The sequence below is a fragment of the Homo sapiens genome, chromosome 14 (assembly GCF_000001405.40).
Source record: "Homo sapiens chromosome 14, GRCh38.p14 Primary Assembly".
NCBI lineage: Eukaryota > Metazoa > Chordata > Mammalia > Primates > Hominidae > Homo > Homo sapiens.
In genome coordinates this window covers 44,892,208-44,917,358 of record NC_000014.9, presented here as the reverse complement: position 1 = coordinate 44,917,358, position 25,151 = coordinate 44,892,208, and the positions used below count along the sequence as shown (strand labels likewise).

Below are 25,151 nucleotides of genomic sequence, written 5' to 3'. Positions count from 1 at the left end.
TGTGTACACAGTGTATATATGTGTGTGTACATAGTGTATATATGTGTGTGTACACAGTGTATATATGTGTGTACACACAGTGTATATGTGTGTACACACACAGTGTATATATGTGAGTGTACACACAGTGTATATATGTACACACACAGTGTATATATGTGAGTGTACACACACATAGTGTATATATGTACACACACAGTGTATATATGTGAGTGTACACACACAGTGTATATATGTATGTGTACACACACATAGTGTATATATGTGTGTATACACACACATATATAGTGTATATATGTGTGTATATACACACACATATATAGTGTATTTATGTGTGTGTATATACACACACATATATAGTGCATATATGTGTGTGTATATACACACACATATATAGTGCGTATATGTGTGTGTATATACACACATATATAGTGCGTATATGTGTGTGTATACACACATATATAGTGCGTATATGTGTGTGTATACACACATATATAGTGCGTATATGTGTGTGTATACACATATATAGTGTGTATATGTGTGTGTATATACACACATATATAGTGTGTATATGTGTGTATACACACATATATAGTGTGTATATGTGTGTATACACACACATATATAGTGTGTATATGTGTGAATACACACATATATAGTGTGTATATGTGTGTGTATACACACATATATAGTGTGTATATGTGTGTGTATACACACATATATAGTGTGTATATGTGTGTGTGTATACACACATATATAGTGTGTATGTGTGTGTGTGTACACACATATATAGTGTGTATGTGTGTGTGTGTACACACATATATAGTGTGTATATGTGTGTGTGTGTACACACATATATAGTGTGTATATGTGTGTGTGTGTACACACATATATAGTGTGTATATGTGTGTGTGTGTACACACATATATAGTGTGTATATGTGTGTGTGTGTACACACATATATAGTGTGTATATGTGTGTGTGTGTACACACATATATAGTGTGTATATGTGTGTGTGTACACACATATATAGTGTGTATGTGTGTGTGTGTGTACACACATATATAGTGTGTATGTGTGTGTGTGTGTACACACATATATAGTGTGTGTGTGTGTGTGTACACACATATATAGTGTGTATATGTGTGTGTATATACACACATATATAGTGTGTATATGTGTGTGTATATACACACATATATAGTGTGTATATGTGTATGTATACATGGTGGTATCTTAGTTCATTTGGACTGCTGTAACAAAATACCATAAACTGAGTAGCTTATAAGCAACAGAAATTATTTCCCACAGTTCTGGAGGCTGGGAAGTCCAAGATAAAGGCAGATTTGGTTTCTGGTAAGAACACTTTTTTTCTGGTTCATAGGCGTAATCTTGCTATGCCTTCACATGGTAGTAGGAGTGTGGCATCTCTCTTGGGTCTTTTTTCTAAGGGCACTAATCCCATCCAGGAGGGCTCCACTGTCATGACCTAATTGCCTTGCCCCACCTCCTAATGCCATCATTTTGGGGATGAGAGTTTCAACATATGAATTGTGGGCAGACATAAACACTGAAGACTATGGTAGGGGGATAAACAATTTTGGATAGTATCTGGTGGTTAAATGGTTAAAGATTTTGAACAGGAACAATATGGGATATTTTACCATTTGATGTCTAGGAAACTTTATTCACTTTCTCTTCAAATTTTTGCTTTGCTTTGTTCTTGCATTTTAAACTAATTCATGTATTTAACTTTTTAAAACTATTTTTACATTGTAATTTGTTCTGTGATCTTCATTTCCACAGAAATACCAGCAATGGTTTTCAGCCAACAAACTTGAAATATTTGCATAGAATTTAATTTTCTGCAACAACACTACACACTAATTTGCTGTAATTTCTTAATAAAATATTGAAAGAGGAATCCATAATGGTAATGTTACTGGGTGGGAAGTTCTTAACTGTGAATTGTCCAGGTTCTTGGCGTGTTGAACAAAGAATTGAACAAAATACACAAAGTAACAAAAGAAAGAAACAACAAAAGACAAAGCAACAAAAGAATAGAGTAATGAAAACACAGATTCATTGTAGTGAAAGTACATTCCACAGACTGGGAATGGGCTTCAAGAGGCAGCTCAAGAGTCCCGCTACTGAAATGCTCCCCAAGGTTTTTATAAAGCCAAAAGAACATGGGCAACACCCCTACATAACATTTGGAGGCCTCCAGTTGGTTACACCCTATGAAGGATTGGCCTACGACCAACCAGAGGCTGAAGTGGAGGCTTGCCCTGCAGTCAATCACAGATTGAAGCGGAAACTTCTGTCTTGTTATCACAGGAGCCAAGATGTAGCCTGTATGCTGCCTAATCTTGCCTAGAACTATCTGCGCCTGCTGTTCTTTTGCTTATGCATTAACCCTTGGTTACCCTAATTCCCTATTCTCCTGCCTCAGCAGCTAGCACTTTCATAGTGCTTACTATGTGTCAGGCAGTAAGTGCTATATATAGTAATTCATTTAATCCTCACTACAACCTTATGAGATATATTCTAGTATTATCTCCACTTTACAGTGAGGAAACAAATAGGTTAAGTCACATGCCCAAAGCTACACAGCCCATGACTGAGCCTGGATTTGAATCCAGGCAATCTAACTTCAAAATCCGGATTTAACTGCCATATTCTTGCCTTTCCTCGACAGCCTGAAAACACAATCAATCAAGAACTAATGATAAAAGAGATAATTCATTGATCATATAGCATGATTCACTTAGTCTGCAAATCCAGTCTTTTTCCTGGGTGAAAAAGGACAATCCTAAATTAGGTCTTCTGGCATTTTATAAGCTTGCTGAGGATAAAATTCCTAAGCCTTCTCAAAAAGAGAGCTGAAGGAAGAGGGGGAAATTTCAGAAGCCATGAGGGTTGGGAGGAAATAGGTGAAGAAACCCCAGGGGTCAGTTTACAAATAATATTTTAGCGGGAATGTTGGCAGAGAGCACAGCCAACTTTATCAAACGCATCTTGGTTGTATATTTCCCCCGACTTATGAGTAGGTAGTATCACAGAACAGAAGGAAAATTTGCTCGCATCACCCAAATTATAAAGTAAGTTAATAGCTGGTCGTGGTGGCTCACACCTGTAATCCCAGCACTTTGGAAGGCAAAGGCGGGTAGTTCACTTGAGGTCAGGAGTTTGAAACCAGCCTAGCCAACAGTACAATTTTTGTACTAAAAATACTAAAACACAAAATACAAAATACTAAAAATAAAAAAATTAGCCAGGCATGGTGGCACATGCCTGTAGTCCCAGCTACTCGAGAGGCTGAGGCAGGAGAATGGCTTGAACCCGGGAGGCAGAGGTTGCAGTGAGCTGCGCCATTGCACTCCAGCCTGGGCAACAGAGCGAGACTCTGTCACACATACACACACTAAAAGTAGGTGAATACTTTTAAGGCCAAAAAAGTTCAGGTATTGTTTTCTCTCCAGGTCCTTTACATTCTATGCCGTGGAGCTTCTACCACCTAGTGTTTTTGAAGAATACTGCAGGAGCTGGGAATCAGTCCTTTTCCTTCAGAATTCCAGCGGACATTTACCAAGTGCTTAAAGAAGGCCCGGCGGGGCGCAAGGGCTCACGCCTGTATAATCCCAGCACTTTTTAACGCCGAGGCGGGTGGATCAACTGGAGGCTAGCGTTTCGAGACCAACCTGGCCAACATGGTGAAACCCCATCTCTACTAAAACACAAAAAAATTAGCCAGGCATGGTGGCGAGCCCCTGCAGTCCCAGCTACTCGGAAGGCTTGAGCCCGAAAATTGCTTGAGCGCGGGAGGCGGAGGTTGCAGTGAACCGAGATTGCACCACTGCACTCCAGCCTGGGCCACAGAGCCAGACTCTGTCTCAAAATACTACTACCACTACTACTACTACCACTACTACTACTACTAGTAAAGAAGGCTTATCCCAAGTGACCCTCTCACATATTCCCTATTATCAGAAAGAGAAAAAAATTGAGGTTAATTTGTGTGGATTACTTTAGCTGTGACATATTTTCTTAAAATTTGAAGGTGTTTGAAAATTTTTTATCTTTAAATGTAAGGCTTATAGCATTCTAGTAGAAATAATGGCAGTTAGGCTTTGGGGGTAGAAGAAATAGTACTGTGTCCGGAGTTGGTGGGTTCCTGGTGTTGCTGGTTTCAGGACTGAAGCTGCAAACCTTCATGGTAAGTGTTAGAGCCCATAAAGGCAGCACGGACCCAAAAAGCGAGCAACAGGAAGATTACTGCAAACTGCAAAAAAACAAAATTTCCACAGCCTGGAAGAGGACAAAAACCAGCTGCCTGCTTTTATTCCCTTATCTGACCCCACCCACATCCTGCTGATTGGTCTATTTTACAGAGAGCTGATTGGCCCATTTTACAGAGAGCTGATTGGCCCATTTTACAGAGAGCTGATTGGCCCATTTTGACAGGGTGCTGATTGGTGCGTTTACAAACCTTGAGCGAGACACAGAGTACTGATTGGTGCATTTATAATCCTTTAGCTAGACAAGGAAGTTCTCCAAGTCCCCACTAGATTAGCTAGACACAGAGCACTGATTGGTGCGTTTACAAACTTTGAGCTAGACACAGGGTGCTGATTGGTGCGTTTACAAACCTTGAGATAGACACAAAGTGCTGATTGGTGCATTTACAAACCTTTAGCTAGACATAAAAGTTCTCCAAGTGCCCACCCCACTCAGGAACCCAGCTGGCTTCCCTAGTGGGTCTGGTGTAGGTCCGCTGGCGGAGCTGCCAGCCGGACACACGCCCCACGCCCGCACTTCTCAGCCCTTCCGCGGTCCATGGGTCCGGCCGTCGTGGAGCAGGGGGCGGCGCCCGTCGGGGAGGCTCCAGCCGCGCGGGAGCCAACGGTGAGGGGGCTCAAGCATGGTGGGCTGCAGGTCCCGAGCCTTGCCCTGCGGGGAGGCGGGTGAGGCGCGGCGAGAATTCGATCGCGGCGCGGGCGGGCCTGCCGTGCTGGGGGAGCCGGGGCACCCTCCGCAGCTGCTGGCCCCGGTGCTAAGCCCCTTACTGCTGGTGGCCGGTGGCGCGGCCGGCCGCTCCGAGTGCGGGCCCGCCTAGCCCAGCGCCCACCCGGAACCGGCGCCGGCCCGTGAGCACCGCGTGCAGCACCGGCTCCCGCCCGCGCCTTTCTCTCCACACCTCCCTGCGAGGAGAGGGAGCCGGCTGCGGCCTCGGCCAGTCCCATAGTGGGACCCCTCCAGCGCAGCGGACGGCTGAAGGGGTCCTTGAGCGCGGCCACTGCTTGAGCGCGGCCAGAGTGGACGCCGAGGCCGAGGAGGCGCGGAGAGAGAGCGAGGACTGCTAGCACGTTGTCACCTCTCAGTACTATATAATTGTCTTTGAAATAGTACTCTGTAATTGTAGAGGTAGAGGAAATAGTACTGTATAATTGTCTTTGAAATCACAAGCTGAAGAATCTGTAATCTTTTTCCTTTACAGATCTCCTCCGGGAGTGGTGGGCAGCTACTGTGAAAGGCCTGGTTCAAAAACCTCACAGCGGTTGTTTTCAGAGTTGTCCCTCCTGTGTACTCTCAAAGCCCCAGGTACCTACCCTGCCATAGTATTTCGTTTTATACTGTCATCATTGTTTTACTCATTTTTCTCCCGCTGTAGGCATGTATACTCTTCCAGGGCTGAAAGCATATCTAATTCAAGTAGCAAATGGTAGATACTCAATAAGTATATATTAAATGAATGCTGCAGAGAAAATATGTCTGATATTACCTTGTTCTAGTTTGCAGCCCCCAAATCAAACCTAGCCTGCTTGGGAAAGGATTTTCCTAGCTGGTGGGCCATTTTCTCCAAGCCTTAACCTGGTCTCTTCTTAACTTGAGCTCAGGTCAGCTCTCTTGTGTTTTTTCTCCTTCCCAATCCCTTTCCACTGCCCTAAAATTCTCATATGTTGGGTATGCGGAGATACTTACTGTATCTGCTTCTCTCCTCTTCAAAAACTCTCTCAGATTTTGTCCACCCTGCCCTTAAAGCTAATTACGTTGAGTGTATTTTAATCTTTCTTTGTTACAACTCTGTATTAGGTTAACAGGAAAACAGAAAGTCTATTTGGTTGTATCTATTTGGGGACAATTTATTCCATCCTGGTCTTGCTTCCAAACTTCAGCACCCGGGATACTATGATTAAGATGTAGGTAGAGGATTGTAAAGGAATGATATCCTTTGTAAAATAAAAGAATGAGTTATTGAAGGTTTAAGAAGACAAATGTTTTTGAAAGCAAGTGTCCGGGTGAAAAGAAATGCCTGAACAGGTGGCCACAGCTGTTTTCCTGAGTCTTACTTTCCTCTTGGAGTTTTGTCATGTTAATTATCTCTATCACCACTATGCTGGCCTCCAGGAGTATACACTTCTTCCTTCCAAGCCCTAACTCCTTGGTTCTTGGTTCTCTTCAGTACTGTAGAGCCATGCTAGACTTTCCAAAAAGTCTTTACCAGTGTGAGCCAATCACTGGATTATGTAATCATAATTGTGTAAATTATGGATGGAAGAAATGATGGTGGAGAAGTTATGGATGACCTTTATTTTCTTCTTCAAACTTCTTTTGTATTACTGATTTACATATTATTTTATATTCATATTGCGAAATGAGTGTTTATAAAATTCAAAGATAGGCCGGGCACGCTGGCTTACATGTGTAATCCCAGCACTTTGGGAGGCCGAGGCAGGTGGCTCACCTGAGGTCAGGAGTTTGAGACCAGCCTGGCCAACATGGTGAAACCCCGACTCTACTAAAAATACAAAAATTAGCCGGGCGTGGTGGCACTTACCTGTAATCTCAGCTACTTAGGAGGCTGAGGCAGGAGAATTGCTTGAATCCGGGAGGCGGAGGTTGCAGTGAGCCAAGATCATGCCACTGCACTTCAGCCTGGGCGACAGAGCAAAGCTCCGTCTCAAAAATAAATAGATAATAAATAAAATAAAACTCAAAGATAAAACAAGTAATGAAAATCCATCCAACTTGTATAAATAGCAAGTTTCTGATTCTACTATGGCTAACTTGCCTACGCAGCTAATTTGCTCCCAAAGCTCCTGTTCCATTCCACACCCTTTTTGAGGTTCCTGCCGAAGCAGCTCACCTTTTCATTTTTAAGCAATATTCCTCCTGATACCTTGCAGAAGATCTTATTGAGAAAACAGTGGATAAACAATGGAACTGATTGCTCATTTGAGGATAAATAATCTAATTACATCCTCAGCATATAAAGAAATTATCTAGTTACAGATGGCTTCTTACTAACTTCCTCCCCCTCAGCTACAAGAGATAGAGTAAAAGGCTGTTTTCTCCCCAGGATCAAATTAAATTTGAGGTTAAAGGAGTGTCTTAGTTCATTTGTGCTGCTATAACAAAACACCTGAGATTTGGTAATTTATAAAGAAGAGAAATGTATTTCTTACAGTTCTGGAAGTTGGGAAAATTAAGATGGAGATGCCAGCATCTGATACGGGTTTTCTTGCTGCATTATCACATAGCAGGAGGAAAAAGGGCGAAAGGGTCAAACTCACTCTGTCAAGCCCATTACTGGCTGGGCACGGTGGCTCATGCCTATAATCCCAGCACTTTGGGAGGCTGAGGCAGGAGGATTACTTGAGCCCAGGAGTTTGAGACCAGCCTGGGAAACATACAGAGACCCTGTCTCCACAAAAAATTTTTTAAAATTAAGGGGATTTGGTGGTGCATGTCTGTAGTCCCAGCAACTTGGGAGGTTGAGGTGGGAGGATCACTTGAGCCCAGCAGGTTGAGGCTACAATAAGCCATGATTGTGCCGTGGCACTCCAGCCTGGGTGACACAGTGAAACCCTGTCTCAAAAAAAAAAAAAAAAAAAAGTCCATTTATAAGGGCAATTCATCTCACTCATGAGGGCAAAGCCTCCCCAAACCTCCCCAAACGTCCCAGCTCTCAGTACCACCACCATAGGGATTAAGCTCAATGTAAATTTTGAAAGGGAGACCATCATTCAGACCATAGCGAGGAGGCTGTCCAGGTGACCAGAGAGTGGAGCTTGGGCCAGTACGGTGGGATGTAGGAACCCCTGATAGTAAGACATTCAATTTAAGATCTTTGTATAAATGTCTCAATAAGATGAACTTTTAAAGCTATGAAGTTTTAGGGCAGAATAATTTGATGCTGATTTTAAATGCTAGGGCATCAACAAAGGAAAAGGAGAAAATTTAAAAATTTTAAATGTTTGGTTTGGCTGTAGTTTAGTAATATTAATTACAATCATTTTATATGAATTCTTACCCTTTCTGCCTTATAGTACATTACAGTTATTTTCTAATAATTAAACATCACTGAATCATTATAAAACTAAATTTCGGGCCGGGCACAGTGGCTCACGCCTGTAATCCCAGCACTTTGGGAGGCCAACGCGGGCAGATCACCTGAAATCGGGAGTTTGAGACCAGCCACCAACATGGAGAAACTCCGTCTCTACTGAAAATACAAAAATAGCCGGGTGTGGGTGGCGCCTGCCTGTAATCCCAGCTACTCCGGAGACTGAGGCAGGAGCATCATTTGAACCTGGGAGTCAGAGGTTGCAGTGAGCCAAGATGGTGCCATTGCACACCAACCTGGGCAACAGGAGCGAAACTCCATCTCAAAACAAACATAACTAAATTTTTCATATGCTCAACATGTACAGCTTTCCTTTTCTTTGCTTTTTTTTTTTTTTTTTTGAGACAGGTCTTGCTGTGTTACGCAGGCTGCTCCAGTGATCTCTGCTCCCTGCAACCTCCAACTCTTAGGCTCAAGCCATCCTCCCACCTCAGCCTCCTGAGTAACTGGCACTACAGGCAACAAGTGAACACCATCACACCTGACTGATTTTTGTATTTTTAGTAGAGATGGGGTCTCCCTGTGTTGCCCAGGGAACTCCTGAGTTCAAGTGATCCTCTCACCTCAGCCTCCCAAAGTGCTGGGATTACAGGCATGAGCCACGTGTCCTGCCATGTGTAGCTTTTTATGTGTGATAGTAGTCATCTGATTATATAGTTGTTTGCCCATACTTTAGGAAAGAAATAGAACATGGGACTCAGTCTAGTAGGCATGCCTGTGGTGGTCAGTTATCCTTTCTCTTCCTCTTTCATTGGATGGATTAGATCTAGTGACAGTTTAAACTAATAATTTATAAATTATTATAAACTACTTTGAAGGAATAAGATTATTTACAGAAGTTAAAGAAGAAACGGTTTCTTTTACTGAAGCTAGTTGAAGACTCCTTCTTAAATTTGCTTATTTGTTCTTTATGCCAGATTGCAGAAAAGGTTTTAAAATTATTTTTGCTGTCCCTGTAGGTATAGGAGTTGTTTGTGGTATTTTGATTAAAAATATATTCTGGGGCTGGGTGCGGTGGCTCGCACCTGTAATCCTAGCACTTTTGGGAGGCCGAGGCAGGTGGATCACCTGAGGTCAGGAGTTTGAGACCAGCCTGGCCAACATAGTGGAACCCCGTCTCTACTCAAAATACAAAAATTAGCCAGGTGTGGTGGCTGTGCGCCTGTAATCTGAGCTACGAGGCTGAGGTGGGAGAATCGCTTGAACCAGGGAGGCAGAGGCTGCAGTGAGCCAAGATGGAACCACTGCACTCCAGCCTGGGTGACAGTAAGACTCCATCTCAAAAAATAAAAAATAAAAGAAAAACAAAACCAAAACAAAAAAATATATAATCTGATTATTACCTCGTATCTTTAGCCCCCCCCCACCAGTAGATTATTCTGATTAAGGATGTTTATAGAACTACAAAGAATTTTCCATACCCTCACCTTCACATTCCGTAATCTATTTTAGTTAATTCTTTTTGATCCTTTTTCTATTCACTGTTTGGTCAGCAGGGGATAATTTCTTGTTTCTATCAACTGCTACCATAAAAATAAACTATCTGTTCTCCTCCTTAAGCCCCAACCTGGGGTCAAGAAGGCATACTGAATTTCCATTACACACTAAATATATTAGTGATATGAGCTACAGCCTAAGTAATTTTTTAAAATCTGCAAAGTTCAGTAGTTAGAGAAAATCTGGGAGCCTTGCCTGCAAATAAAAGAGGTAGAAAAATGTTTTTTTATTAGCATGTTCAAGGTAGTCAAGATTTTAACAAACATCTTAATCCTCACAACAACCCTGTGAGGTAGGTAAGTCATTGTTTCATGATAAACTAGTATTCCAAATAAAGTGCATTTCCTGAAAGAATAAATCTGCATTAGGAATAATTTTGTTAATGACACCATTTATGTTTACTGTAATATTTGTGTTATTGTATACTTCAGTTCATGCAATCAGGTGTCCCCAGAAAAGTTTACTCTAAATTAAATCCTAATCAGATACACTTGGGAAACTAAATAAATCTTGGGGTGAATTTTTTTTTTTTGTAAAATAAATCAGTTTGATATATAAACAAGAATTTTCATAGTATTTGCTAACGTGAGGCATTCTCAGTAATGTTTCACCCATATTTATCCATTCTTGGGTAAGTTTTCTCAACATGGCACCAAGCACTTTAGCAGTTCAGCAGATGGCAGTGATCTGTGCTGTCATGTAGGAGCTTCTAAATATATTGCAACTAATCTCAATCCCAAACCTGAAGTGAACTATTTATTGAAATGTAAACACTAAAATGGTGATAAATTTCAAAAAGTATTTTCCCTTGAGAATATTTTTTCCCTTAAGTTGCAAAAAGAAGAGTGACCTTAGGGTCTTTATAAAGAAACGTAATGTTCTGATAACTATAAAATCGTAATGATTTGTATTGCAAGTCAAAGCCGCATGCTATCAATCACTACTTACAAGGAAGCCAGTAGACATCACTCAAAATTTTAAGTATTCTTTTCTCTGTGTCAATATAAAACTTCACTAGGAAAAGAAGTATTTCCAGGCACGCATTTCCCCTTAAATATATATTTAAAGTGCATTTCTATTGCTAGTCCGACACTAGTAAACATCCAGTTGCCTAATATTGTTTATAGTTGTTTTATCTGCAAAATACATTAGAGCATTTCAAATTACATTTAATTATAAGATAAACATTTAAGATAGTTATATAATTTATTTGTAATAACGTGAATTAAGCTTGGAAGCTTAGCTATCACTTAAAATCCACTGGCAGGTTTATAATACTTTAGGAAGTAGTTAAAAGTAATTTGCCATTATAAAGAAATAGTTTAAGCTCTGAAAAATTTCTCAGACATTTTAAAAAATTGCTGCAGGGATACTAGGCAAATCGAACTAATAAACTAAGCCATCGATAAATTGTACATTCAAATCCATACTAGATCAAATAGTGCACTTTGGATTATAGTGAGGTAGGGCAAAGAAATACAGTCAGATATATTTTGAACTGTTAAATTATATAAACTTAAAATACTTTTACCTAGGTTTTACTCGAATATCCAAAAAGAAAAATTTAGAATTCAGATGACAAAGTATTTCTTGAATTCAAAGACAGAATTGTAAAAATCTTTGAGGTACATATAAATAAAAAATACAAAGGCCACAAGATATATTTTATTCCAACATAAAATATGCTCATATAAAAATAACTCAGGAAATATAAAAAAATTACAAACATTTTTGCACAGATCCTCTATATAAAACATTTACCTGGGGTTAAACACTGAAAATACACTTCTGAAACTAGTATAGTTGAACTATTTTCTTGGATACCAAGTATACACAAAATAAAAGCCCTTCATCTGGGAGAGCATGGGCAGGAGGGAAAACAACTTTTAGCATCAATCTATATTTATTTCTCTGTTGCTCGAATATAAACCAATGATGACAAGAGGAGAAACTCTGGGGGTTTATTTAACAAAATTAAATTCACATTTCTGAGCCCATCATAGTGCATCCAATGTCCACCAATCTGGAAAGCTGCAGAATAATGATGTTCCTCTTTGTTAAATAATGTGGCACCTTCCAACAAATACCTGCAAATTAAATAATATAGTATGAGAGAAAATTTAATACTTTGTTAAGATAAACATTCCTTAAATTCATAACTAAGGAATAAAAACATTGACATTGTTTGTATTCTGTTCCCTGAAAAAGATATCCATCTCTATAGATCATGTAATAAAATTGGAAATGTGGAAATTAAGAATTTCTTAAAAACATATTTTAACAGATGAACTTATAACCTGTATGTTTCTTTTAAAAAAGAGTAAACACGTAAGAAAACTTTTACAGGGAAAATGTTAAAAGAACCCTTTATTTCCTGATTTGTATGCAGATATTTTTATTTATAGTGACAAGTAACATTTTATGTTTAAATTATGACCACCTGCATACTACTACGAACTTCTCTGACTTGAAATACAAGTATTAGCCAGTATGTGTCAGGCACAAAATACTGTGCTATTATTATACTATCCAGTATTATGTGTCAGGTACTATCTTAAACACTTAGTATGTGCTTATTAAATCTTTACAATAATTGCACTAGGTTGATACCATCATCTGTGTTTTATAGATAAGAAAACTGACATGTAAACTGGTTAAGTTGTTGGCCCAAGGTTAACTTATAAAAGATGGGGCTAGGATTTGAACCCAATTCTGTCTATTCTGTAGTCCACACACCTACCCACTATGTGCACTGCTAGTAACTGACTCTCTGTAATAAATTCTGATTCTATTCAGAATACATAAATTTAGAGACAGATATGATTGTTTTCAACAATATCTCTTAAGGGCTAGTCAAAATCATAATATAACAGGATAAATTTTTTTTATTAGTTTTATAAAGAAACAACAACAAAAACACCTACTTGTGATCAGACAAATCCAAGTAATAGGGTACATACGCCAGATCTTCAGATTTCCAATGTTGCATATTTAAGACAACAAAAGGGGGTGCCCCATGGCAGAAAATTCGTTGGGAAAATTCTCTTAAGCCACCACACCTAAAATAGAAAACAGGCATGAACATTATTACACTTGGGACAAAGCTGGCTTTCAACACTTCAGAGTTGTCTTTATGACTTTAATTTTCTTATAATTATCTATTATAGGTGTAGGTAATGGTTAATACCTATAGTTATAGGGTAATTACTACCTTATATCACCTAATAGTTCCAGAAGTTTATAAGCTGTGTTCCTTACACTAGAAATGACACGTTTAAAACTCCAGGAAATGCTGGCTATTTCTGTATAAGCCTATGAAAGCATAACTCTGCAGAACTGATACAAACGCTTTTATATTTCACTCTATATGCTGGTTTCAAATAATGGCAGAGAGGGGAAAAATATGACTCTAATTGCTTCCTTTTGCCATTAGACTCGACTATAAGCATGAACAAATTGTTTCCTCATATTATGAGGTATTAAGTATATGGATCAGAATATAACATATTGAATTATACAGTAAAATCTTGATTAACCGGAATGCTCAGGGTACAGTATTCTGGTTAACAAACATTATTAACTAAACCAAATTAACCAGAAAACCATCTGTTTCAGTATTTGTTGCTACAATATATTCGTTCACTTTCTGGACTTAATAGGTACAATTAACAGAACATATTTTTACCTTTCCTTTTGTAATTAATCAGCAATAAGATCATCCTTCTAAATATTAATTCTCATTATACAATAATGTAGTCACAGAAAATTTTAAGAGATTGGGATGAATATGTTCTGCTTCTCTCAACTTTTACTAGGTTAAGTTTTTTAGTTGTCATTTACCTCTTTCTCCTAAATGGAGAGTGCAGAAAAAAATCCAGATAATTGAGGGTCCCAATTAGCTGGGTTCCAGTTAACCAAGGTTTTATTGTACCTACTCAGCAGTGGGGGGGGAAAAAAGAAAAGGTATTTGCTTTGTATTCATCAATCAGCTGTAGTACCATATTCTATGTAGTGATATACTCCGTAACAAAAACACTGTAAAATGTCATAGTAAACTAGGTTAATAAGATTCATAAAGTACTTCAAGGAGCACATCTGCCTAGGTTTCCTTATAAACACATACATACTGTCATTTTAAATGTCTATTGTATACTCACCCATGCTCTTCACACAGTTCAATCTTGGAACAGAATAACTCATTCACAGCCAGTCTTATCAAGTTTCCATGTGGAATTTCTTGGGGAGGACTATAATAATTATTAAATGCATGTAAGAACTGCTTCAACATTTTATATCTTAATATATTATAACAAATTTTACAGCTCAGTCCTTTATTAGCAAAACCAGTTATACCAAGTATAACCTTTATGACACATTCAGAATTTCTTGCAGATAGTATAGAAACCAGTTGAACTCAAACACTAATTATGAAATTTTCAAAGAAACATATTTTTGTATAAACAATCCTGATATATCCAGTTGCTGCTATGATAATTTAAAACATTTGTGAGAAGATTCAAAAGAGGCAATCTGGTCTCGTGGGAAGGAACTAGGACCCAGAATCAGAGGAGCAGCTGATTAGTTACCTGATTAAATGTAAGTAATAATCATTCTTGGCCTCAAGTACCTGATCCGTTAAAAAAAACTTTTTTTCTACATTACTTCAGAGGTTGCTTTAAATATAGGATTTTTTAAAAAGTAGGCAAAAACTTAAAAGTTATAGAGTATGATGAAAAATATTTTATTCAATAGTATAAAATATAGAATTATAAATATTTCATTATAGTTTCAAAATATTTACAGATGAAACTAGTTTTTAAAAAACAAGATATTAGGCTGGGTGTGGTGGCTCACGCCTGTAATCCCAGCACTTTGGGAAGCTGAGGTGGGTGAATCAGAAGTTTGAGACCAACCTGGGCAACACAGCAAGATCCTATCTCTAAAAAAAAATACAAAAATTAGCCGGGCATGGTGGTACATGCCCCTGGTGCCAGCTACTTGGGGGTGCTGAGACAGGAGGATCTCTTGAACCCAGGAAGTCAACGTTGCAGTGAGCTGTGATCACACCATTATACTTCAGCCTGGGAGATGGAGTGAGACCCTGTCTCAAAAAATAAAAAAATAAATAAAACATTAGCTGGGCATGGTGGCATATACCTGTAGTCCCAGCTACTGGAGAGGCTGAAGTAGTGAGCCATGAGGCAGGAGGATCACTTGAGCCCGGGAGTTCAAGGCTGCAGTGAGCTATGATCACTGCAACACTTCTGAGTTGTCTTTATGACTTGATAATTATTTCCATTGATTGATATTTCAAATTAGCAATGCAGGAAAATAGACAGTGTATTTCAGAGAAATGTAAGTTTAACAAATTAGGGTATGTGATATACATTTCCAAATGGGAACGATCTATCAGGCTGTTTTTCTGGACCATAGGGCCAAATACCTTTCTGCCAAAAATGCATTTGGGTCTGTTTTTCTTCCACTGGCAATTATCCCCTTTCCAGCTCATGTCCCTTGGAGGCTTTAACGTTTCCCAACACTCCACTAGGGCTTGCCAATTTGGACTTTGTCCCTATCATTTACCAGGTGGGAGATCTGCCTTTTCTCTGAAAGCCAAAAACACTCATCTGGCTCCTTGCACCTTTCCTAGTCAAAATAAAAGCTGCTTACATCCACATCCACATGTGAGATGCCAAGTTCTGGGTTTCTGTCTATAATTATGTCTTGGCCATAATATGAAAGGATGCTTTTAATTTTCTTGTTCATATGGAACTAGCCCTCCTGACAGAGACCTATTCAAAGGGTGAAACATTCCAAAACAGTATTAAGCGCTCTTAAAGAGGTTACATTTGTGACACTAAGAATCATCTATAGTCATATTAGTAAATTCAAGTAAGAGTAATATATTTTTCATACTGAATAATTCATTACTTTGCTACTGACAAGGTTATCAGCTGGTTTTGTAAAGTAATTATAAGATGTTTGGATGTAATAGGCTGTAACACTGTTTTCAGGGGACCTGCAGAAGAATCTTGCATTTCTGTGACTGCTTCATGCCTAAGTAATTATAAAGGCTCTGTACTTTAACAAATACTTTGGCAATATTGTCATTTGTCATCCAATGGGGACACATTCTGAGAAATGTATCCTTAGATGATTTCATAGTGTGTAAACATCCTAGAATGTGCTTACACAAAACTAGATGGTATAACCTTTTACACACCGAGGCTATATGGTAAAGCCTATTGCTCCTAGGCTACAAATCCATACAACATGTTACTATACTTAATTCTGTAGGCAATTTTAACAAAATGGTAAGTCTTTGTGTACCTAAACATAGAAAGGTATACTAAATATACAGTATCCTACAAACCAGCATGGCATATGTGGTCCTTTGTTGACCCAAATGTCATTATGGGGTACACGACTACATATCTAAAGCAACATTCATTAAAAAAAGTAAAAGTGACAAAACAGACGTTAGACCAACTTACTTTATATTAATTGTGCGCTGCTGATCCTCCTGCACTCGAGTTGGGCATCGCCAGTTGGAACAGTAACTCTCTTGAATGGTAGACATGAGATTTTCAAGATTTTTTGTAAAATTATCATGCTCATTCCCAAACAAATCAATTATTAATGAAGCTTTATGGACTTCAGATTTGTATTGCTGTTTTTCCATCTTGTCCCAAATCCAAAGTAGCTTCACAGTTGTAAAACTGTAGGTGTCCATTAAGTAAAGAAAACAGTCTACAAACTCTCTACCAAAATGAAGAGAGAGTTCCCTAGGGAAGTTTTCATTTTCATTAAGAATGACATATAATAACATCAAGAATCCATCTATGGTGCAGGTATTTTTCAGTCTTATTTCAACATAGAGTGGTGTACAGGATACTGCTTTGCGGCCAGCTTTGATAGTAAAAACACCCCCCCAAGGAAGAACAGGCCTACAAAATGATCGATCTTGGTTATAGTTATTTTTAATTGATGCTTTGATCTCTTCAAACAGTGTCTTCATCCTACATTTTAAAAGTTTAAAACAGAACACATAAAATTGTAACTTTGTATATTAAATGCATAATATGTTTAAACGAAAATAAATCCATCTAAAGACTCAAATCAAATGTGGTTATTAGGCCTCCCAACATAGCAAAAAAATTTAAATGAGCCACTTTTCGCGCACTATGCATGCTCTCTGGAAAGACCATTTAAGAAGCTGCAGTCTTTTTTTGAGGTACAGATGGCCATTTGATAGGCTTTATATTAATTACATTGCAGATTTTATCTGTGACAGAGGGAAACCCTGTAATAAAAAAAATCCTGAGGCTGGGCACGGTGGCTCACACCTGTAATCCCAGTACTTTGGGAGGCTGAGGCGGGCGATCACCTGAGGTCGGGCGTTCGAGACCAGCCTGACCAACATGGAGAAACCCTCTCTCTATTAAAAATACAAAATTAGCTGGGCGTGGTGGCGCATGCCTGTAATCCCAGCTACTCGGGAGGCTGAGGCAGGAGAATCGCTTGAACCTGGGAGGCGGAGGTTGCGGTGAGCCGAGATCACGCCATCTCATTCCAGCCTGGGCAACGAGTGAAACTCCATCTCAAAAAAAAAAAAAAAAAAAAAAAAAATTCCTAAATGAAAATAAAGCTATTAAAAACATTAACTTTGGTTAGGCATATTCCTAATGTAAACCTCCTCATCTTTCCAAAATACAGGCTGTGCTTGCTTCATTTTCTTGTTAATATGGGTGATTCCACTTAAGAAACTAATATAATGGGATCCTTAATTGGGGGTACAGAATAATAGCCATTACATAATCTTTATATTAACTATACTACATATTTTATTTGTTGTAGAGAAAAACTATGTAAAAAAAAAAACTCCTGTTGCTATATAGACTAAGACTAATTCTGACATTTAGCTTTGAAAGACAGCATGAGGAGTAATCATGAAAATCAATCTTAAGTGAATAGTAGCATAGCTAATATTGCTAATCACTTTGGGATTTTTATTTGCAACTGAGAATTGTGCTATTGTGCAATTTAGATATACTATAATTTTTAACTACAGAGGCTATACTATGAAGATCTGATTCAGAACTTGATAAATATCCTGATTATTCCCTATGCATGTTTTCAGAATGAAGCAAAGCATCCTCCCTTTTCAAACTGGCACTCTTCCCCAACCTTGAGGACCACTAGGCACTTTGTTTTTAAAGCCACAGTAAGTATTTTAATAAATATGTTGTGTTATATGTATGTTATATAGCGCACATACTTTTGAAAGAATGAGTTCTTTTTACAATTGTATTGAAAAAACTCCTTCACTTTACTTGGGACAAGCAAATAAACTAACAACATCATATTGTTTTCCGAGGTTACTTTTATGGAGAAGTATTGTTATGAAAAAAGGGAGGCATCTGAGGAGTGGAAACAGAGAAATGAGTGACTGAGATCAGTGTCTTATTTTGACCATCTTTTCCAAGTGCTGCATCCTCCCAAACACAACATGAACTCAACACTTAATAAAGCTGCAGTCCTACGTGTTTTATTTGTGTAAGAAACTAAGTCCAAAACATTCTGCAACGCGAGTAAAAATTCACTTCTGCAATATATTAAACACACATGAACACAGTGTTTTCAGTTTGAAGCAAGATACTGTGGACTCTAAAATATCCAGTAACTATATTTAGTATGAAGAGTGGATGTTTATATCTAGTTGGCCAACACATTGATTCTAGTCATCCACTTAGGAAGAAGAGGGTGTGGCAAATCTGCAGCCTAGGAAAACACAAACTCAGTTTCTTCGTAATAGATACTGATTCGTTTTGTTTACAAAGATTTTAAAAAACAGTTATGCATTCAAATACTTTAAAAACGAAAATAACTTTATGGTTTGATTTATTTCCGTTGAATTTTAAAGAACTTTGTAGCAAGGTTTAAGATTGCTTAAAGAGCCTGAGTTCGGATTCCTAAAATAGTGCATTGGGAAGGAAGCATAAATCTCTAGGATATTTTCTTCACATTATCTTCAGACATGACCAAATGAAGTGTAACTACCCTTACACTCTAAGAGAATTAAACTATAATGACATATGTGGCATGAAACTTTAGTCTTTCTCTGGAAAAAACGGGAGGAGGGAAGGTTTGGAAGAACTAGAGGATACTAGTTTCATCATGAATTTGGTGATTTGTTCCAAAGTAAATTGCAATAAAAATGAGGGGTGGGGAAAAATGATGGAAAGATAGCTGTGAAGAGCTTTACTTAAAATTGTCTTAGCTGTTTAGCTAGGAACTGTAATTAGAAGGACTGGAGGATGTATTCCGCTGGCTTTATTCTCCAGGCTCTACGGGCCCTCCAATTTGAATAAACCTGGAAAACTCTCCTGACCTCTATTTCTTTGACAAAACATCTTTCTTTCGTGGTGACTTCCAAGGGAGGAAATTGGTACCCCAAGCTAGCCGTGAGGACCCCACCACATGCCCAAGGCATTGAACGCCAGACTCCCTAAGGACTCAGGGATTCTAAAAGTCCCCTCTCAAATCAGCGCCTAAAATACGCCTGTACAGCCACGCGCTACCGCTCCCAGCAGCGCGGGACTTCGGGACAGGGACAAGGCGGACGCTAGGCGTGCGCCCCCGGGGAGCCCCCACGTTCCGGCCACGCCCACCCTGGCCCTGGGCAGCCGCGCCCGGGAGGCCTGGCACCGAGGCGGGCGGGTCCCCGAGTTAGGGGCCCGCGAGTCGGCTGGGCGCCCCCGCCTCTGCCCGGGCAGTGCCCCGCCGAGTGCTCAGAACTGCGGACAAATAGGCTGGAGGGCCGGGCCGCGGAAGGCGTTCCCACACCGGCCAGTCTCCGTCCACCAGGAAGCAAACTCCTCGTACCTCCCTGGGGACCGAAAACTGCCGGTGCCGCCGCACCCGTCGCCGCCGCCGCCTGCTCATGGAGAGCCCGGGCTGCCGCCGCCGCCGCCGCCGCCGCTGCCTCATCTATGAGTACCGCCGGCTGTCTCGGCCTCCCCCGGCGTGAGTTCTGGGCTCTGGCATGGCCTCCATGGCAGCCGCCGCGGCGGGAGCCACAGCAGCTCCAGCGCCCAGGCCCAATCTCACTGGACCCACGGAGCCAGGACAGTGGGACACGTCGCTTCTTATTACGGAGGAAGATTCGGCACGACCTCCGCCCCCCTCCCCCCAACCCCCCCGTTTTCAGCCGCCTGACAGCGCAGCTGCGCAGGCGCGAAGACGCCCCAGCCTAATGTGCGTGTGTCGGCTGTGTATACAGCATCCAGATTCGCCCAATGGGAACCAGGATCAGGTGTGGGGGGCGGGACCTCGCAGAGAGGGGCGGGGTTCCACTGGTAGAAGGTGGGTGGGGAAGCCGGAAGTGGGCAGAGTTTGCACGGAGGCGGAGCTTTATTGGCAAACCTGATTGGCTTTTTGAGGTTTGTACCATTTTAGGACTTGATTTTAGTTTGCTTCTGGGTCTTGTTTTCTCAAATTCTTAACCTAGAAAGAAAGCTTTGTTTTCTCAGTAAATTACGGTTTTTTAAGCGTTTAAGTATTTACTTAGAAAACAGTTGAATTGATCTGTTAAATGCCAGCTTTAGTGTTCAAGTTAATTATTGGCCAATATACTGTAACTTACAGTGGAAGTTAACCCCATTTTGAAAAATTAGATTGTTTTAATTCCATTGTGAAGTTGAAAAAATTGGGTTTTGGAGATAATAAGGTCCCACACAGCAAGTGACGGAGCTGGAAATTACAGTTAGGACAACTTAATGCTAGTTTGTGGGCTCAACCACTATTTCTGTTTATTAGGGCCGAGTTTTTGTATCTCCCGTAAAGAAGCAAGGCCCTGTATGGCTCTGCATCTGGAGAACACAGGCCACCCTGCAAAAACTACCTCTCCTTGCAAGTAGGCATGGAGATCTGGTTGAGATTTTCCCCATCCAGCCTTTCAACAAATAATGAGGGTCTGGAAAGTTAGCTCTAACGTTCAGAACACGTGAGGGCTAATGAGAGAGCTCAAGGCTATCCTAGTAAATCAGTGTGGTTTTCCGTCACAGGCTGAGCCTGGGAGAGGCTGGATGCCTTCTTGACCGGTGTGATGGTCGGCCAAAGCTATGGAGGGGAACTTCCTCATGGATCTCTCTAAAAAAGTCTAGAAATGGAAGAGAGACTTCCATTTCTTGAGTTTTGGCTCTGCCCAAAAAAGAATAATTAATAGCTCTGGCAAAGCCTGCTCTTTTTAGTTTCCTGTTTTTTCTTATTTCTTATGGTATTTTATAGATGAGGAAACTGAGGCTCTTAGAGATAAACTAGTGTGTTGGAAAACTTGCAAAAAGTTCACTCTCAATATTAATCCTCTCCTACAGGTAGAAAAGCCCTTTAAAAATGTTTGTAAATGTGGATTATGTGTTTAATTATAAATCTCTCACAAGACATGGAGTTCATTTTATACTGATTAGGTCATTCTCTTCCTGAAAACAGCCATAGTATGGTGGATGACACCATTTCTGGAGAATAGTATTGAGATTGCTCATTAAACTCTGCCGAGTCTCAGCTAGATGGAGGAAGCATGGATTCCTTGAATACTTGGATAACTCACAAACATCACTGAGGCCTTTAACTGAAATTTCCATTCTGCATCTTTTCCACCGTCTTCAAAATCTGACATCTGAGTTGTAGGGTTTTTTTAGATATATTTACTGAAGTATAATTGGCATAGAATATATAGAGCATACTTAAAGTGTATAATTTTTATCAGTTTTGACATATGTATAACCCCTTAAACCATCACTGTGATCAAATGAGTATGCCCATCACACTTAAGTTTCTGCTTACCTACCGCCCCCCAACTCTGCCTTTTTTTTTTTTTTTTTTTTTTTTTTTTTTCAGAATCCTGATCTGTTACCCAGGCTGGAGTGCAGTGAATGATCTCGGCTTATTGCAACTTCCGCCTCCCAGGATCAAGAGTTTCTGGTATCTCAGCTTTCCGAGTAGCTGGGATTATAGACGTGCACCACCATGCCTAGCTAATTTTTGTATTTTTAGTAGAGGCAGAGTTTCACCATGTTGGCCAGGCTGGTCTCAAACTCCTGGCCTCAGGTGATCTGCCCACCTCGGCCTCCCAAAGTGCTGGGATTACAGGCGTGAGCCACCACACCTGGCCCTCATTCTCTTAGCAGTGTATTTTGAAGAGAAGTTTTAACTTTTAATAAAGTTTAATTTATTTATTATTTTATGGATTACATTTCTAGTGTTGTTTCTAAGAAATTTTTGCCTACCCCAAGCTCACAAAGAAATTTTCCTATGTTTTCTTATAAAAGTTTTATGTGTTCAAGCTGTACATTTAGATGTATGATGCATTGTAGTTAACTTTCTTATATAGTTTGAGGCATGTATCCAAGTTCATATTTGATGTATGGATACCCAGTCATCGCAGCAATTTTTTTTTTGAAAAGCCTGTACTTTTTCCACTGGGTTGCTTTTGTGCTTTTGTCAAAAATTAGTTGCGCAGCTTGGGCGCAGTAGCTCACGCCTGTAATCCCAGCAGTTTGGGAGGCCGAGGCGGGCGGATCACAAGATCAGGAGATCGAGACCATCCTGGCTAACATGGTGAAACCCCGTCTCTACTAAAAATATAAAAAATTAGCCGGGCATGGTGGCGGGTACCTGTAGTCCCAGCTACTTGGGAGGCTGAGGCAGGAGAATGGCGTGAACCAGGGGGGCGGAGCTTGCAGTGAGCCGAGATCACACCACTGCACTCCAGCCTGGGCGACAGAGCGAGTCTCCATCTAAACAAAAAAACAAAAACAAAAAAATTAGTTGCCCAATACCATTTTATAAACACTTTATTTATTTATTATCAATCATCAACCATATGTCACACAGTATGCTAGCAGTGGAGATATCAGTAAGTGTTCTTTGGTTGCAAAGACTGGAGACCAATATTGTTAATTTAAATAGGACATTTTTGGGGTTTTTTTTTGTTTTGTTTTGTTTTTTTTTTGAGACAGACTCTCGCTCTTTCGCCCAGGCCGGACTGCAGTGGCGCTATCTCGGCTCACTGCAAGCTCCGCCTCCCAGGTTCACGCCATTCTCCTGCCTCAGCCTCCCGAGTAGCTGGGATTACAGGCACCTGCCACTGTGCCCAGCTAATTTTTGTATTTTAAGTAGAGACGGGGTTTCACTGTGTTGGCCAGGCTGGTCTTGAATTCCTGACCTCAGGTGATTCACCCGCCTCAGCCTCCCAAAGTGCTGGGATTACAGGTGTGAGCCACTGCTCCCGGCCTTCTACTAGTCTCAATAAGTCCTCTTTAGAATTCAAATTATAATGCTCAGTTACATTACTAGTAAACTATTTTTAATCTCATTTTTCCAAAAGCTGAATTTTTGCTTTAAATCTATAAACTTTGTTGGTAGATGTTTAAAAAGGTCCAGACTCCACCACAACAGATAATCCAGTAATTATCCTGGGATGTAAAAATATCTGAAAAGATGAGAGGAAGACATTGATATCTGAACTTAAAGTTACAGAGCCTGTTTGGAGAGGCTATGTGACAGACACAACCAGCCCATAATTACCCCTCAATGAGAGGCCTTGAGAAAGAAATATCCTGATATCACTTTTCTCCTCCCTCTGATATAATGATGTGTTGTCATTATTTCTATTATTGTATACCGTTTGAAAGTGACACATTTTCTATCGCCCTTGCTTTGTTGATTGACAGTTCTGACAGTTTCCATGCTGGTTGACAAAACAAGTGATTCTGCAGTTGCATAAAGTTACATCTATTTTACTCCTGTCATTTGTGCTGTGCTTGCTGTACATTTTTACTGCTATATGGGAATTTAAGAAATAATTTTAAAGTGTTTATTATTATTATTAATTTATTTTTTGAAACAGAGTCTCACTCTGTTGCCTACCACACTGCAGCCTCATCCTCCCAGGCTCAAGGGCTCCTCCCACCTCAGCCTTCCAAGTAGCTGGGACTACAGGTGTATGCTACCATGCCCGGCTAATTTTTTTTGTATATTTTTTGTAGAGAAGGGGATTCACTCCATTGCCCAGGCTGGTGTTGAACTCCTGGACTCAAGCGATCTACCCAACTCGTCCTCCCAAAGTGTTGGGACTACAGGGATGAGCCACTGCGCCAGGCCAAATGAAAAAATAATTCATACTATCTTTGTTACCAGTCTTAAAATTTAAAATATACCCCATTTTATTTCATTTTTTTGAAACTTATCCTTTAAAAAATTGGTTTAAAGTCTTATTTTTCTGTTGGGTCTCATGTTCTTGGTAAAGTGGTCGTTAGATCAAGTTTGATGTACACAAATACCATTTATCTGTCTATCCTAGTACATTTGCTGAGCTCCCATCATGAACTTTGAGTCCCTGAGGATCTTGAAGTTAAGAAGGTTCCTGCTCTAGAAAATATGTAAGCTGTATAAACAACAATAACAATGAGGAAGGGCATGAAAATCTAATTTCTGTAACTCAATTCAATTCAGTCGATCTCATAGCCTTATTATCTGGGGAAAAATCAGAACACATAGGCCCTAAATTTAGTCATAAACTTTAGTCTAGATATATTTTCCAGAAGAAAGGGGTAGTCGTGGGGACTTAGCCCCAGAAGCAGCTGTCACTTGCCATTATATCAGACTCTGTTGCATTAAGCTTTCCAAAAATAGAATTCACATCTTCAAATTCCCGTATTCCTTTGGGTATCCCCAACAGACTTTTCCCCCAGTGAACAAACATTATGTTCTTACTTTTGACAATCATTTCAACTGTGATACAGGAATTTGGTTCTAAAAATTCAGGGACAGGATCAGCTCTTTCCAGCCCCTTCTAGCTCTAAATCTTAGGAAACAGTGGGTGCCACTTTTTCCCAATGTGAAGCCACATGGGCTGGGTCCTTTTTCTCCCTCAGATCACAGAAAGTAAAGTAAGCAAATAAGGGAAAAATCAGACTTTAGTTCACTAAAAGTGTTCTTTTTATTTGCCGACATGTTTAGTATTTCTGGTGCTCTTTATTCCTTTGCATATATCTAAGTTTCCCTCTGCTATCACTTCACTTCACTTTGAAAAAACTTGGTTTAACGTTTTCTGTAGTGCAGTCTGCTAGGATGGTTTTAAAAAATGGCTGCACACTCTTTTACATTGTTTCCATTGAGACATTGGGTCTTTGTTCCTTCTTCTTGAATCTGGGTAGACTAGTAGCCTTTGACCTACAGAGTACA

The 25,151-nt window shown here is 39.9% G+C and overlaps 1 protein-coding gene and 1 long non-coding RNA gene across 4 annotated transcripts, besides 4 other annotated features; one reads left to right on the top strand and one right to left on the bottom strand.

Moving 5' to 3' along the window:
- The first annotated feature begins 5,441 nt into the window (after positions 1 to 5,441).
- Positions 5,442 to 18,451, top strand: LOC101927418 (uncharacterized). Its single transcript, NR_110050.1, has 3 exons — positions 5,442 to 5,602; positions 18,046 to 18,129; positions 18,283 to 18,451. It is a non-coding gene; the product is annotated as an uncharacterized LOC101927418 (long non-coding RNA).
- On the bottom strand, positions 10,102 to 20,084 carry DORIP1 (dopamine receptor interacting protein 1). Of its 3 annotated transcripts, NM_001017923.2 has the most exons (5): positions 19,791 to 20,084; positions 16,400 to 16,924; positions 14,063 to 14,152; positions 12,830 to 12,964; positions 10,102 to 11,992 (listed from the first exon to the last, which is right to left on the bottom strand). In NM_001017923.2, the coding sequence occupies exons 2-5, from the start codon at positions 16,921 to 16,923 to the stop codon at positions 11,809 to 11,811; spliced, it is 933 nt and encodes a 310-aa protein (NP_001017923.1). In that variant the 5' UTR covers position 16,924; positions 19,791 to 20,084; the 3' UTR covers positions 10,102 to 11,808. The 3 variants fall into 3 exon arrangements, with proteins under 3 accessions (NP_001017923.1, XP_011534710.1, XP_047286871.1); XM_011536408.1 differs by lacking the exons at positions 16,400 to 16,924; positions 19,791 to 20,084 and adding an exon at positions 13,746 to 13,836; XM_047430915.1 differs by lacking the exons at positions 10,102 to 11,992; positions 12,830 to 12,964 and adding an exon at positions 13,746 to 13,836.
- Positions 19,266 to 19,765: an enhancer, noted in NCBI's record as "H3K27ac hESC enhancer chr14:45366797-45367296 (GRCh37/hg19 assembly coordinates)". NCBI's record gives its function as "activates a minimal SCP1, AML or CMV promoter by ChIP-STARR-seq in naive and primed H9 embryonic stem cells {active_cell/tissue: H9 hESC(naive and primed)}" and the evidence as "EXISTENCE:reporter gene assay evidence [ECO:0000049][PMID:30033119]".
- Positions 19,430 to 19,749: a silencer, noted in NCBI's record as "silent region_5693". NCBI's record gives its function as "represses an Ori minimal core promoter by ATAC-STARR-seq in GM12878 lymphoblastoid cells {active_cell/tissue: GM12878}" and the evidence as "EXISTENCE:reporter gene assay evidence [ECO:0000049][PMID:35858748]".
- Positions 19,770 to 19,899: a silencer, noted in NCBI's record as "silent region_5692". NCBI's record gives its function as "represses an Ori minimal core promoter by ATAC-STARR-seq in GM12878 lymphoblastoid cells {active_cell/tissue: GM12878}" and the evidence as "EXISTENCE:reporter gene assay evidence [ECO:0000049][PMID:35858748]".
- Positions 20,390 to 20,439: an enhancer, noted in NCBI's record as "active region_8294". NCBI's record gives its function as "activates an Ori minimal core promoter by ATAC-STARR-seq in GM12878 lymphoblastoid cells {active_cell/tissue: GM12878}" and the evidence as "EXISTENCE:reporter gene assay evidence [ECO:0000049][PMID:35858748]".